The 14888-nt window shown below is 42.7% G+C and overlaps 1 protein-coding gene across 2 annotated transcripts in view; it reads left to right on the top strand.

Annotated features, from left to right (window-relative positions):
- The window catches only part of PTDSS1 (phosphatidylserine synthase 1), a 75094-nt gene that overhangs the window by 29544 nt on the left and 30662 nt on the right, over window positions 1–14888 (top strand). For both annotated transcript variants that reach the window (NM_014754.3, NM_001290225.2), the window contains 3 exons: window positions 3653–3811; window positions 8249–8400; window positions 12595–12736. In NM_014754.3, the coding sequence (NP_055569.1) occupies window positions 3653–3811; window positions 8249–8400; window positions 12595–12736 (453 nt within the window). The remainder of the gene's footprint in view (window positions 1–3652; window positions 3812–8248; window positions 8401–12594; window positions 12737–14888) is intronic.

Genomic DNA, 14888 nt, shown 5'->3' on the forward strand with positions numbered 1-14888 from the left:
GCTTTTCTTTTTTTTTTTTTTTTTGGCATAACCACTGAACAGTGAACAGTACGCAGTGAGTGTTGACATTTCTGCAGTCGCTTCGTAAATGTTCTGTATAGTTGATTTATTCAAAATAGGATCCAGACAAGGTTTACACATTGCATATGATATGTCTTTTAAATCTCTTTTCATCTGTAATTCCCCTCATCATGTCCTGAAAATTTATTTGTCAAAGAAACCACATTGCTTATTCTATAGGGTTTTTCACATCTGGATTTTGCAGCTGCATTTGCAGTATCATCATTTAACATGTTCTTTTTGTCCCCCTATATCTTCTATAAAGTAGAACTCAGGTGTAGGGGCTGGATGAGATTCTAGATTCCAGATCAGTTTTTATAGTGGGACTGCTTCATAGCTGGTGCTGCGTATCACACTAGGAGGCACACAGTGTCTGGTGGTCTCGCTTTTTATAATGTTAAGATTGGTCATGGCTTTGTGAGGTCAACATCAGTTTTAAGATGCACCATCAATTATAGGTATGACTTTTTGGAGGAGAAAAAAAGAAACCTGGGGCTGAGCATGGTGGCTCATGCCTGTAATCACAGCATTTTGGGAGGCCATGGTGGGCAGATCATAAGGTCAGGAGTTTGAGACCAGCCTGGTGTTTGAGACCATGTTTGAGACCAACATGGTGAAACCCTGTCTCTACTAAAAATATGAAAATTAGCTGGGCGTGGTGGCACGCACCTGTAATCCCAGCTACTCGGGAGGCTGAGACAGGAGAATCATTTGAACCCGGGAGGCGGAGGTTGCAGTGAGCCGAGATGGTGCCACTGCGCTCCAGCCTAGGCAACGCTGTCTCAAAAAAAAAAAAAAAAAAAAAGAAAAGAAACCTTATATTTAAAGTGCTATACATTGTAATATATTGAAATAGTCACCCTAATTCTCAAAACAATACAGTGTGAAAAAGACGTGTCATAGATTCAAGGAAGCACGATAGTTAAAAATGGTACAGTCTGTGTAGAGGTCCTGATTGGGGGTGTGGGGAGCTGGGACCAGTCTGAGCTGGGACCAGATCATGAGGCAGAGGGCCCTGCCTGAGGCTAGGAGGCTGCCAGGGCTGAGCCAGCTGGGATGAGGAGTTTAGGTGTTATTCTAAGTGTATGAAAAGGCCATGGAAGGTTTATAAGCAGAGGAGCTACATGACCTGTGTTGATGTTTTAGGAGGTCAATCAATAAATACCTCCATTTCTAGTTGAGTTTGGAAACAGAAACAAGAGTTCAAAATCTCAGCTGATTTCTTCCTGTGAAAGCTCAGTGGAGCAGATTGCTTTAGACCTGGGCTGAATTAAGCAAGCCTGTCTTCCCCTAGCCCATTAGACAACCACAAGCTGCTTCTGCAAAGCAGGGCCTGACCCACAAAAATTGCTGCATGGCTGGGGGAGCTGATGAGAACCTGTGCTGTCTGTAAGCAAATAATTTCCAAAGAGGACCCAAAAGAGGTTGGATCTCTTTCTTCTTCCAAAGTCAGCAACTGCCCCAGAGAGGAGTGAAGAGATAGTTGGGCTGGAGACCTGGCGTGTGTAGTAGTGGAGATCCTTCTACATTGGGACGGGCATGCTACCCAACCCCTTTCTTCCCACCTCCTGCCCCAGACACCCTTACACACATGCATGCACGTTCCGTGATCTGATTATGATTTTCAAGATCTCTCTGTAGTCGTAAGCTAGATGTGAATACCTAGGTGCTTATTATAGCATCATCTATACTTTGTTATATGCCTGACACATTCCACAGTTTTCAAAAGCTATTATTATGGAAGTCTAAGCAAGAAATAATAGTGGCAGCGAGATGCATAAAAGAACAACCTGGGGAGGTAAAGTGAATAGGACTTGGTATTTGGTTAGGTGTCCAGCAAGCAAGGCAGAGGGTAAGGCCGCCAAGATCAGCCTAGGACCAGTTGGGAAGTCAGCAGAATCTGTCTTTACCCATCTTTTGCTCACAGGCATGCACCTGTCCACTTGACCCCCTTTCCAGGCTTCAGCTCTACACTGTCTTCAGTTAAAGCCTGTTCCTCCTGGTTCCCAGGGTTCTGCCTGCATGCAGCTCTCTGGCTGCTTTAAACTGCAATGCCCTGTGGCCCTTCCAGGACAAGGACCTCAGGTCTTATGAGGGGATAATTGGCAAATCTGTTCATTACTAACTATACTGCAAATAGACGGATTGGTCTTTATGATTTTTAAAATGCCTTTCCGCATGTCAAAGCATAGAGCTACTTAATAGAGTGTAAAGTCCTCCAGAGTTATCTGCAAGCTGTGATTACTTTAAGAGCAGCCTTCTAAAAACAGATCTTACCCCTTCCTTATCTAACCCTACACAGTGTATTCCAGAGTAAAGAAGAGGGTGGGGTGGTTGAGACATTTGAGGTTGACTGGACGTGGCCCTGCTCCTTAACCTAATATACAACCTGCTTCAGCTAAGGGCATTTCCCTCTGTCAGCCTGTGATTCTCTGTGACAAGAACGTGCTGTTCCAGAGTCCGGGAAGAAACTTTTCATCTTATTGCAGGGCAGTTTGTTTCTTTTAAAGCCTTATCTTGACTTACCCTATTGAATTTTATCCTCTTTTCTCCAGATTTCCCATTTACACAGCATAATCTCACATCATACTGCTTCTCAAAAAATAGAATTCTTAAAAATGTTTGTTCAGCTTTGCAAGTTGAAATGCATTTTATCTGAGAAGGAAATCTGATGTGTGGTGGGTTTCAGAAGAGACAGGGAAGCTCTTTTGCTCTCAGAAAGTATCATTTCTGGAATTTAAAACTATTATAGTTTATAGGAATTTTTTTCAGCTGGCTGATAATAGGGGGTGAATATTTGCCAACTCTTACTACTGCCTGTCAAATTAATTTTGGGAAGAAAGGATGTGAAATGTAGAGATTCCCAGTAAATGTTATATTATCATATTGTCATGCAGTCATATGATAAGATATTAAATTACTTAGAAATACGTATAATCAAAAACAAAGATATTAGAAATGGAACCAACATTCTGAAAAGCTTTGTAATTTTTAATATTTAAATTATGTAGTATCCGATATATTTTTGGGGAGGGGAGTTCTCTTTTAATTACTGAAGTTGGGTGCTTTTCTTCTTTTTTCTAGCATAACTATTTAAGGCTTTACATTTTCCTCTAAAGTTCAATTTTTACGTGGTGTATTTTCGTTATCATTATGACACGTTAAAAAAAATTCCTATTATGATTTCTTCTTTAATCCATGATACTTAGAAATGTGTGTTTAAATTTCCAAATCTATTGGGAATCTTTTATTTGTGCTTTAGTTACTGGCTTTAATATTGTTGCCCTGTGGTCTGATGACATGATCTATGTGATACCACTTCTTTAGGATATGTTGAGCCTTTGTAAAATTATTTTGCTTCTCATTTTAATGCAGCTTTTGCAATTCAGAGCAAAGCAGTTTTGATTTATAAACTCAAATACTTGTCTATTTTCCCTCAAGGCCCTTAAGTTATTAAAACTTTCTCATTTGTTACTGAGCAGGACTTATTTGTTGTCAAGTTCATATCTATTCTTTTTATTTACCGGCAGAATCCTGGAAGCAAGTTGATTTCTAGAGTTTCACTAATTATTCTCTTTTTTATTTTAAATAGGAGTATGCTGTGAACTGCCATGTGATCACCTGGGAGAGGATTATCAGCCACTTTGATATTTTTGCATTTGGACATTTCTGGGGCTGGGCCATGAAGGCCTTGCTGATCCGTAGTTACGGTCTCTGCTGGACAATCAGTATTACCTGGGAGCTGACTGAGGTAAGAAGGAGGGCATTGGGGGTTCCCCAGACTGTGCCATGTGTGTAGTTTATATATAGGAAAAAGTATGTCAGTTAACAGTCAGTTAATCCGTTCTCCAGCCCCTGTGGTACAAAACAGTATTTAAACCATCCCATAAGAATATTTAATACTTCTGTTTAAAAAACAAGCAAATATTAAAAATACCTCCTTGTTAACTTAATAAAGTGCACCTCTGTCCTGCAAGTCTTAAAGAGAAACAAATGAAATAAAGCTAAAGAATGAAGTTAAAATTCCAAGTAAGACAAATAAATGGGAATGAGGAGACCTGCTTAGAATTCAATAGATCAGTTGACCTACTAACTAGCTTCCAGTTTGAGATAATAGAATTGTGTGTTCAAGTACTATAAGAGCATCCAGGGTATTTGGTAGCTGCAAAATGGATTCCAAATGTTAGCTCTAATATGTCAGTAATCAAAAGTTTGTTGCATTTACTTAATAAAAGAGTTATAGTCTTGAAAAACCATTAGCAAAATGAAATTTTGGGAACTAACTCATTATTGTTCTATTATTATGAATCATTCCCAGTGAACAGAATTCGTCCACATGCGCAGTATACTTCTCCATGCTCATCATTGTCCTGACCCTAACTTAGAGACGTGTGCCAACTAGATGTGGCTTCTGTTAATGTGCCTCTCACTGTTCTGGAGGCCAGAAGTCCAAGATCAAAGCGTCGGCAGGACTGGTTCCCCCTGGGGCCTTTTGGAGCATTTTTTTCAGGCTCCTTCTCTATCTTTGTGGTTTGCTGGCAGTCGTGGTCCCTGGGCTTGTTGATGCATGACCCCTTCCTGGTCATGTGGCATTCTCCCTGTGCGTGTCTGAGCCTTCATGGTGTTCTTTTTTTTTTTTTTTTTTTTTTTTTTGCGACAGAGTCTTGCTCTCGCCCAGGCTGGAGTGCAGTGGCACGATCTCAGCTCACTGCAAGCTCCGCCTCCTGGGTTCACGCCATTCTCCTGCCTCAGCCTCCCGAGTAGCTGGAACTACAGGCGTGTGCCACCACGCCCAGCTAATTTTTGGTATTTTTAGTAGAGACGGGGTCTCACCATGTTAGCCAGGATGGTCTCAATCTCCTGTCCTTGTGATCTGCCCACCTCAGCCTCCCAAAGTGCTGGGATTACAGGCGTGAGCCACTGTGCCCAGCCCCATGTGTTCTTTTTCATAAGGACACAAGAGCATTCCCTTTTATAAGGACACAAGTCATATTGGATTAGCAGCTCACTGTACTGCCTATGATCTCATCTTAACAAAGTACCTCTCCAATGACTATCTCCAAATAAGCTCAAATTCTGAGATATTGGAGGTTAGGGCTTCAACATAGGAGTTTTGAGAGGACACAATTCAACCGATCCATAATAGTGCCCAACACTTTACATATGCCTTCTAAGTCCTCACAACAAACCGGGAAAGGCGGTGCATATAGGTTCTCACTGTACAGGTGGGGGATCTGGAGTGCACAGCCTTGCTTCCTTAGGTGAGTTAGGATTGGATTCCAGATGTGAAGCCCACGTTCCTGCCCTTATACCACATTCCACCTCTGAATTCCAAGTGTCTTTGGAACCCAGCCGCTGCATAGGCTTGTGTCAGGCACCTGGCCCTTGTCGGCCTCGCTTGCTTCCCCCTTGCACTGCAGACTGGGCATCTGCTGTACCTTCTTTCCCTGCTTCCCAGTGCCTGTGGTCACCAGGCCCTATAGAGTTCTGTAGAGTCTTCTAAGCACCCAGTCGTCCATTGACGTCTCTTCAGACCTCTGCTCCCACCTGTCTCTAATCCATGGTCATCTCTGTCAGAATTGCTTGTCTCTTCACTATTTATTGCCAAATGATCCTCTTTAGACCCCACCAGACCAAGGCTCTTTCCTACTCAGAGCTCTTTAGTGTTTGTCCATTACTCTGTTTTTTTTTGAGACGGAGTCTTGCTTTGTTGCCCAGGCTGGAATGCAGTGGTGCGATCTTGGCTCACTGCAACCTCCACCTCCTGGGCTCAAGCGATTCTCTTGCCTCAGCCTCCCAAGTAGCTGAGATTACAGGCGTGTGCCACCACACCCAGCTAACTTTTTATTTTTAGTAGAGATGGGGTTTCGCCATGTTGGCCAGGCTGGTCTCTAACTCCTGACCTCAGGTGATCCACCTGCCTCAGCCTCCCAAAGTGCTGATATTACAGGTGTGAACCACCGTACCAGGCCTCCATTACTCTTAAAATAGAATCCAAACTTCCAACCCTGCCTACGAGGCTCCAGGTTCACCGGCCCCTGCCTGCAGCCTCAGCCTCATCATGCCTCATTTTTGCCCTCAGTGCTGCAGCCGCCTCTGCTGTCTTCCCCACCACAGAGTCCTACCTGCTGCTCCTCCCTCTCTTCTTGCCCTTCACCTGCTAACAAGCTGTCTCCAGAGCTCAGCTCTGGAAGGCTTTCCCTGCCCCTCCAGTAACTGTGCTCCACCTTCATACAGCTGGAAATAGAACACCTCGCCACTCTCCTTTGAAATGCTCCTCACGTGTTAGACACTCGATAAGTGTCTCTTCTGCTAATCCTTGTGCCTCAAGAGGGCAGGGCCCATGCCTATGTATTCCCAGACCCAAGGACTTTGCCTTATACATGGCAGATGCTCCACAAATCTGTAGTGAATGAAAGAATGCAGCCCCCTCCTCCTTGGGCTTGGGTCTATCGGGGGCCCATCTCACCCCCAGAACCTGGTACCTTCCAGGAAAGTTCCTTAGGCTGGAGGATGTCCTCCACATCCCACTTTCTCTTGCATAGTTTTCTTTCAGCAAATATGTGTCATTGACTTCTGCTGAAGTTTCTCCCTTCCCTCTCTAAGGGCAAGAGTTAAGGCTCCATCTCGTGGCTTGGAACCTGGGAATACACTTCAAGGGTAGTACCAGGCCCCTGGGGTTAAGAATGCAGCCACAAGCCATCACATGCAGCAGCTACTCTGTAGCTTCTTGACAGCAGGTTCATTAAGAACAAAAAATTCCTCATATTTATAATTTGTTTATAGCTTACAAAATGCTTTCATGAATACTGTTTTATCTTTGCAGTATTTATTATATTACTTCAAAGGTTTGTAATTACAGGCTTGTCTCTTTCCAGAGAACTCCCAGGCATTGTCTTAGTAATTTCATCTTTTTACATTGGGCCTTCACACTCAGTGGGCATGCTGTTCTGAACACAGTGGATATGCCCTTTGTTTTGGACAAAACAAATTGATTTCTAGAGAACTTCTGTTCCACCCTTGATCTTACTGTTTCCCCTTCCTGGAATGCCCGCATCTTCATCTCCATCTCATGAAATCAGTCATTCTTGTCCTTAACGTTCCCCCTCCAATATGTCTTTCTTGTAGAAGCCCTCTCCAGGAAAGTTCCAGAGGCCAAAAGAACCTTCAGCCTCAGTCAGAATGAATGTTTTTTTCCACCATACTCCATTTATGTCACCATTGTAACACTTTCCTCAGTCTACCATATTTTATGGTTCTGGTTATCTGGATAAACATCTGATCCCAGCACTTTGGGAGGCTGAGGCAGGTGGATCATGAGGTCAGGAGTTCGAGACCAGCCTGGCCAACATGGTAAAACTCTGGCTCAACTGAAAATACAAAAATTAGCCGGGCATGGTGGTGTGTGCTTATAATCCCAGCTACTTGGGAGGCTGAGGCAGGAGAATTGCTTGAACCCGGGAGGCAGAGGTTGCAGTGAGCCGAGATCGCACCACTGCACTCCAGCCTGGGCAACAGAGCAAGACTCTGTCTCAGAAAAAAAAAAAAAAAATACAACATCTGACACCTGTCCTTGAAATCAAGACCCTTGACTTCCTTTTCTCTCACCACCTTGCACATCATGGGCACTTAATAAAAGATTGTCATTATTGTGAATCAGTTGGTGTGAGATTTCCTATTAAGCTGTCATGCTTCCTACATCGTGTCATCAAGAGCTAACTGTTCTTTTACAACTTACTCACTGTTTTACCTAAATATCTAGGGGATATTTTTGAAATGCACAACTTGAATTCTCAAGCTGCTAATTTTGAGAATTATGACAATGCTTTGTTGTCAGGGTTGGAAACTTTTCTCCTTTTCCCCTCCCAGATCCTTGTCATGTTGTCATTAGCCAAGGTAATTAATTGGTAGTATTTTTCAAGAGAGACCATTCTTTCTTTAAAAGCCCTGTGTCAAAAAGAGAAGAGCTGTTTGGATATGTGCTGTTTGTTTGCAAACCATCTGCAATATAAAAAACAAGAAACAGATTGCAGAACCTGTTACTGTTGGTTATTTTCTGTACATTAGGAAAAAATGAAATGTCAACAACTTCTTCTAAAATAATGTATTGTTAAAAAGGAAATCTATCTATCTGCATGGTACCCCAGTTTTGTTTATTTTTCCAACCATGGGCTCTTGTGTTTCTCAGCTCTTCTTCATGCATCTCCTCCCCAATTTTGCCGAGTGCTGGTGGGATCAAGTCATTCTGGACATCCTGTTGTGCAATGGCGGTGGCATTTGGCTGGGCATGGTCGTTTGCCGGTTTTTAGAGATGAGGACTTACCACTGGGCAAGCTTCAAGTGAGTTGCCTTCTTTTTGGATATTAGTCACAGTTTTTCATGATATATATTTAATTGTTTTGGTAGGAATCCATTTTAGTATGATCTTTGATGATAAGGAATAAATTCCATGTTAATAACTGAAACTCATAAATGATTATAAACCTGATTTCAAGCATTTGTCCAGAAAATGCTCAATCATTTATGATTTTCTCTCTCTCACCCTATGTATTCAGGGGGTCCTAACACCATCCTCCTAATTCAAAAGATTTCTGAAATCCACCCCCACTCTTTTTTATCCCGACTGCCTCAGCCTTCATTCAGACTCCCATCCCTGGATCAATTCATCTCTGTTTCCAGGTTAAGTCCTCCAGTCCTTCCCACACCATTGCTTGAGTGATCTTTTTAAGAACATCAGATTCATCATGTCATTGCCCTGTGATGGCTTCTCATGGTCTTTGGTCATGGTCAATACATCCATTACCCCAGTAGGGAGATCCTTTCTCTACACCCTCCCAGGCAACCGAGAGTCTGTTTGTGCACACGCTCCCCTCTCTTCACCTGAGATTTGGCCTGTGTACCCATAGGCCAGCCTGATCATCCTTTTCTTTGCTGACTTAGCTCACTTGCCACCCAGGAAGTTCTCTGAATAGTTTTAAGTTGCATACCCCACTATGCTTCCAGTAGAGGACAGTCATACCGCCGGCATTGCTTTATCCTGCTTTGTTAAACTTGCTTCTCATTTTGCAGCACGAATCATGCCATTGATAAGGAAGAATAATGGTACTGATAATGAAAGTTGTGGTTGCTTCAATTGTGTTTAAAACTTTGTTTACTCTATATAACAAAATAGCATTTTCCCACATCATTAAATATTCTTCTAAAACATGATTTTAAAGGGCTTCTTTGTACTTCAACATATGGATAAACCATGTAGTATTTAACCAGTTCCATTTTATGGTCCTTTAGTTGTTTCAAAGTTTTTGCTTTCATAAAGAAGACTGGAGTGATCATTCTTGGACATATATCTTAGTGTGCATCGCCTTTTTTTTGGTAAATAAATTCTTAGAAATAGAGTGTACCAATTTGTAATCTCACCTATAATATATATGTATATCCATTTCACTATTTCCTTGAACTTCATTTTTAAACCTTTGTCAAATTTATCACACATAAAATTGTGTGATACTGGATTTCTATCAATTTCTATTGGATTTACCCTCTTTTATTTGTGCTTTCTACAGATTAAGCTAATTAACACTTTGCCATAAATGTGACTTTATTTTCCATTTTGTCACCCCCTTTTTTTTTGTTTGTTTTATTGAGATGGAGTCTTGCTCTGTCACCCAGGCTGCAGTGCAGTGGTACAATCTCGGCTCGCTGCAGCCTCCGCCTCTCAAGTAGCTGGGACTTCAGGCGCGTGCCACCACGCCTGGCTAGTTTTTGTTTTTAGTAGAGATGGGGTTTCACCATGTTGGCCAGGCTGGTCTCGAACTCCTGACCTCAGGTGATCACCCGCCTCAGCATCTCAAAGTGTTGGGATTACAGGCGTGAGCCACTGTGCCCAGCCTGTCATCCCCTTTTAAACTAGTTTGTGGTGGATTTTTTATTTAAACATCAAAAATACTGTTAATCTTTTTGTTTAGGTAAATATTAACCAGTATTTTCTTCTAGTTCTTTTGTTTTTTTGTTTGTTTGTTTTTGTTTTTTTTGAGATGGAGTTTCACTCTTGTTGCCCAGGCTGGAATGCAATGGCACAATCTCGGCTCACTGCAACCTCCGCCTCCCAGGTTCAAGCGATTTTCCTGCCTCAGCCTCCCGAGTAGCTGGGATTAGCCACCACGCCCGGCTAACTTTTTTTTTTGTATTTTAGGAGAAACGGGGTTTCTCTGTGTTGGTCAGGCTGGTCTCGAACTTCTGACCTCAGGTGATCCGCCCGCCTCAGCCTCCCAAAGTTCTGGGATTACAGGCGTGAGCACCGTGCCCAGCCTTTCTTCTAGTTCTTTAGTGGTTTTACTTGTTTTAAGTATTTAATCTGTCTCAAATTTATTTTGGTATATGATGTGAGGAGGAGATTTCACAATGTTTTTGCCATTGGTTAACCAGTTTTCCCCATCCCTTTTATTACTAAACCTTTCTTTGGTCACTGACTTGCAAGGACACTTTTTAATATATTTAATTTTAATTCTAATTTTTATGTATTTGTTTTTTTGAGACAGAGTCTTGCTCTGTCACCCAGGCTGGAGTGCAGTGGTGCAATCTCAACTCACTGCAGTCTCCACTTCCCGGGTTTAAGCAGTTCTCCTGCATCAGCCTCCCCAGTGCCTGTAATCCCCAGGTGGGATTACAGGCATGCACCACCACACCCAGCTAATTTTTGTATTGTTAGTAGAGACAGGGTTTCTCCATGTTGGCCAGGCTAGTCTCGAACTCCCAACCTCAGGTGATCTGCCTTACTCGGCCTCCCAAAGTGCTGGGATTACAGGTATGAGCCACCATGCCCAGCCACTTTTTAATATATTTAAGGCAGCATTTAACCTAATAAAAATAGTAGCCATGCTTCAAGTATTGCTCCAAGCAAGCTTCACAAGCAATATCTCATTTGAGCCTTGAATCAGTCCTGAGGGTAGACACTGTTATTCTCTTCAGTTTAGGAATGATGTGATACTGAGGCTTAGGTTTAGTAATTTGCCTAAGGACACACAGCTAGCAAGCAGCTGAGTCTGAATTTGCACCAGGATGTCTGCTTTCCTTGTTGTTGTTGTTGTTGTTTTTGAGGCATAGTCTCACTCTGTCGCCTAGGCTGGAGTGCAGTGGCACAATCTTGGCTCACTGCAACCTCTGTCTCCCAGGTTCAAGTGATTCTCCTGCCTCAGCCTCCCAAATAGCTGGGACTGCAGGCACCCGCCACCACACCTGGCTAATTTTTGTATTTTTAGTAGAGACAGGGTTTCACCATGTTGGCCAGGCTGATCTCAAACTCCTGACCTCAAGTGATCTGCCGGCCTCAGCCTCCCAAAGTGCTGGGATTAGAGGCATGAGCCACCATGCCTGGCCTCAGGATGTCTGCTTTCTTGAACACTGCTACAGTATACTTCCTTGTTTTCTTATGTTTATTCTTGAAATTTGACTTCAGAATCATTTTGTCAAGTTCCCACGACATAAACCCAACTAATAAACAACAACAAAAAATCCTATTGGTGGTTTTTTTAAAGTAATATTAAATGTATAAATGAATACAGATTAAGTTGAATTAACCTCTTTGCTGTATTAAATATTCTGATTCTTGATCACGCTGCATCTCTCTTTATTCCCATTTTCTTCTCAGTCTTTCTATGCACTTTGCTATTTTTACAGTACAAGTCTTTTGTAGTTCTTGTTTATTTTTGGATAGTCTCTATTTTTTGCTGCCAGTGTGCCGCAGATCTTCTTGCTGTGATGTTTTCTCAATACGAGTTTGTTGGTGGATAGGTGGGTGGATGAAGGAACAGCCCTGGTTTCCTATCACTCTCCCTGCTCCCACCCACTAGAACGGAAGGCCTGACTGGTTGGTGCTTGTGCCTCCAACCACTTAGCACAATGTTGGAGACGTAAAAGTTCATGATATAAATATTTGTGGAATTAAAGACTCTTTACCAGTTATTAAATAGTATTTATTATACCTTGGGTTTTGGCTCTCCTGGACTAGTACAGGGAGGGCTGGAATCTGCACCCACTCCTCATGCTGAGTGTGCCAGCCACTTGCTGTCTCTGGGCCTTAATGTCTGCATTTGTAAACTGTAGGACTGTTTAGTTCTTTCATGGGTGTGTGAAACTTTTAATTGAGTGATTTCGAGGATGCAAATGAAGAAAGGTTAAATATCACTGTTCATCAACCCAAAATGTTTACTGCTCTGGGGAAGAAATAGGGTAAAGAAGTGTTGTGGGTGATGCAAGAATATGGAGTGTGTGCAGTTTTACGTGGGAGACAAGCAGTGGGAGAACAGTCTCCTTGCTGCCCTGTGCCTGTCATCAATGAGATTCCTCATTGAGTGTGCTTCTGTCACCTGCTTTACCTGTATAGAGAGACCTTTGAGACACAATTCAAATAAAAAGCAGTCTCTTTGTCCTGAGCATTTATTATAAAAATCATCAGTGCACAGGATTTTTTTCTTGTGCTTTGTTTTCCCCCTGCCTTATCTCTGGATTTTCACTGGAGCCATTCTCTTCTTACAGGGACATTCATACCACCACCGGGAAGATCAAGAGAGCTGTTCTGCAGTTCACTCCTGCTAGCTGGACCTATGTTCGATGGTTTGACCCCAAATCTTCTTTTCAGAGAGTAGCTGGAGTGTACCTTTTCATGATCATCTGGCAGGTATTTTTTCAGATGCCCAGAAGTTGGGAGGAAAACAAAAACTAAAATAAAAACTTTTTAGGAATTTAGAGTTAACATTAGTTTACATTGCTTTTCAGCTCCATACTTTACAAGATATAATATTCTGCAGCTGGCATGTAGAATAATTAAGCAAAGTGATGTTGTTATGCCTAAGGTCTTGCCTCATTTTGAAGACAGTTTTAAAATATGGATCTTTGAATTACAAATTAGAAACAGATTAGATTCCGTGAAATAATTTGTGTCTAGCATCCATCATCCAATGAGTTAGGCATTGGATTGCTTTTTAGAATGATCATTTTCAAGACCAAAGGAACAAATGAGAAGGCTTTTCTTACATTCCTAATTCAGTGTTTATTGGTTAAAATTGTTCCTCAGCTGTTACCACTTTGGTTAATCTGTAGGGTGCTAAATGAGTGCTGGGGAATTGGAGCCTTTTGCTGAGTCCTCCAGAGTGTTGTCCTCCGTGGAGAGAAGCTGTATTTCCAAGTGGCCCACTTCACGACGGAAGTGATTCTGACAGCCCAGGGTCTTGGCAAAAGATTATCAAGCATCTGTGTTTCTGAGAGACAGCAATTTTTTCTGATGCTCCTGGCCCCAGGTTGTTTCACAACTTTTGGAAAGTAGCCAAGGGAAACCAGCTTTTGCCTGAAGAGGATCTTTCAGAGTCATCAGAAATTATGTTTTGGACACATAAACACAAAATACTCCCAACATAAGGAAAAAATTAGCAGATGTCACTTTTAGGACAGATGATCTTCCTTGTTCACACAGAGACAATGCCCATCGCAATAAATGAAGTTTATGCATACAGAAGTGTACGTGAATAGTTAAGTAAGTAATCACTGTGGTTTGGAGAGGTCAGTATCTTTAAAAACAGGACTGTAGATGGATTGGGATTAAGCTTTGCCTTATCAGGCCCAATGTCACGGAAAGCAGAAGCTTTCTTTTATTACAAGGAGGAATGATTGGATGTGTCAAGGAGAGTAGTATAGTGCCGTTAGGATGGAACCACCTGGTGGTATGCGATGGAGCACACTGTTCCCATGAGTGTGAGCACTGCGCTGGGATCAGCTTTCCATATGTGATATTAATTAGACTATTTTTTATTTTGTGTCCTTGAAGTCAGTGCTATGGGAAAACAACATGCATTTTGTGGAATTGTAATGAACCTGCCAGTCTATGTACTGTGTTCTCCTAGCACAGTGACCGTTCCATAATCTCCACCCCTTGTTTGCTACCTGGAGCTGGGCTCTAGGCAGAGAGCAGCCACGTCCCAGCCACAAGATATTTTGTGCTACTCATCATGATGAACTGCATGAGGATGCTAACCTCAGGGAAAAGTACTACTGCTCCCAGCTGAAACTTGGACCAACCCTTCATACCTACTTTTAAGGACTGCCTTTGGTAGAGGATCTGCTCTGTCCCAGGCGTGTGCTGCACGAGTCCATCGTCATCTCTCAGATGTGTCTCCAGCTTCTTTTTTTGCTTTTTTTTTGAGATGGAGTTTTACTCTTGTCACCCAAGTTGGAGTGCAATGGCGTGATCTCGGCCCACTGCAACCTGCAACCTCTGCCTTCCAGGTTCAAGCAATTCTCCTGTCTCAGCCTCCTGAGTAGCTGGGATTACAGGCGCCCACCACCATGCCTGTTTGTATTTTTAGTAGAGATGAGATTTCACCATGTTGGCCAGGCTGGTCTCAAACAACTTACCTCAGGCGATCTGCCCGCCTCGGGCTTCCAAAGTGCTGGGGTTACAGGCATGAGCCACCGTGCATGGCCTCAAGCCTCTTTTGATTGTTAAAGAGCTTACTTATCTACATTTGGAATTCTGTTAGACCTGGCCTGATTTCTGTAAGGCAGCATAGGTGTTCTGTGGCACAGGTTTGCTTTCATGACTTCTGTATGCTCAAAGCATTTCTCTCCCGACTATCCCAGTGGATCACATGTGTGAGCTGAGTAACAATCATACAAACCAGGAAACATGACAAATAGCTGATAATCCTGTTCCCCTATGTGCCCATCCACCACCCCTGCCACCTCTCCCTGGGCCTCCAGTTGCTCCCTGCCCATAATGTACTGGCTGTTAACTAGTTTGAATAGCAATCCTTGGAAGACCACATCTATTCTCTGAA

Source organism: Homo sapiens, chromosome 8, assembly GCF_000001405.40.
Source record: "Homo sapiens chromosome 8, GRCh38.p14 Primary Assembly".
Lineage (NCBI taxonomy): Eukaryota > Metazoa > Chordata > Mammalia > Primates > Hominidae > Homo > Homo sapiens.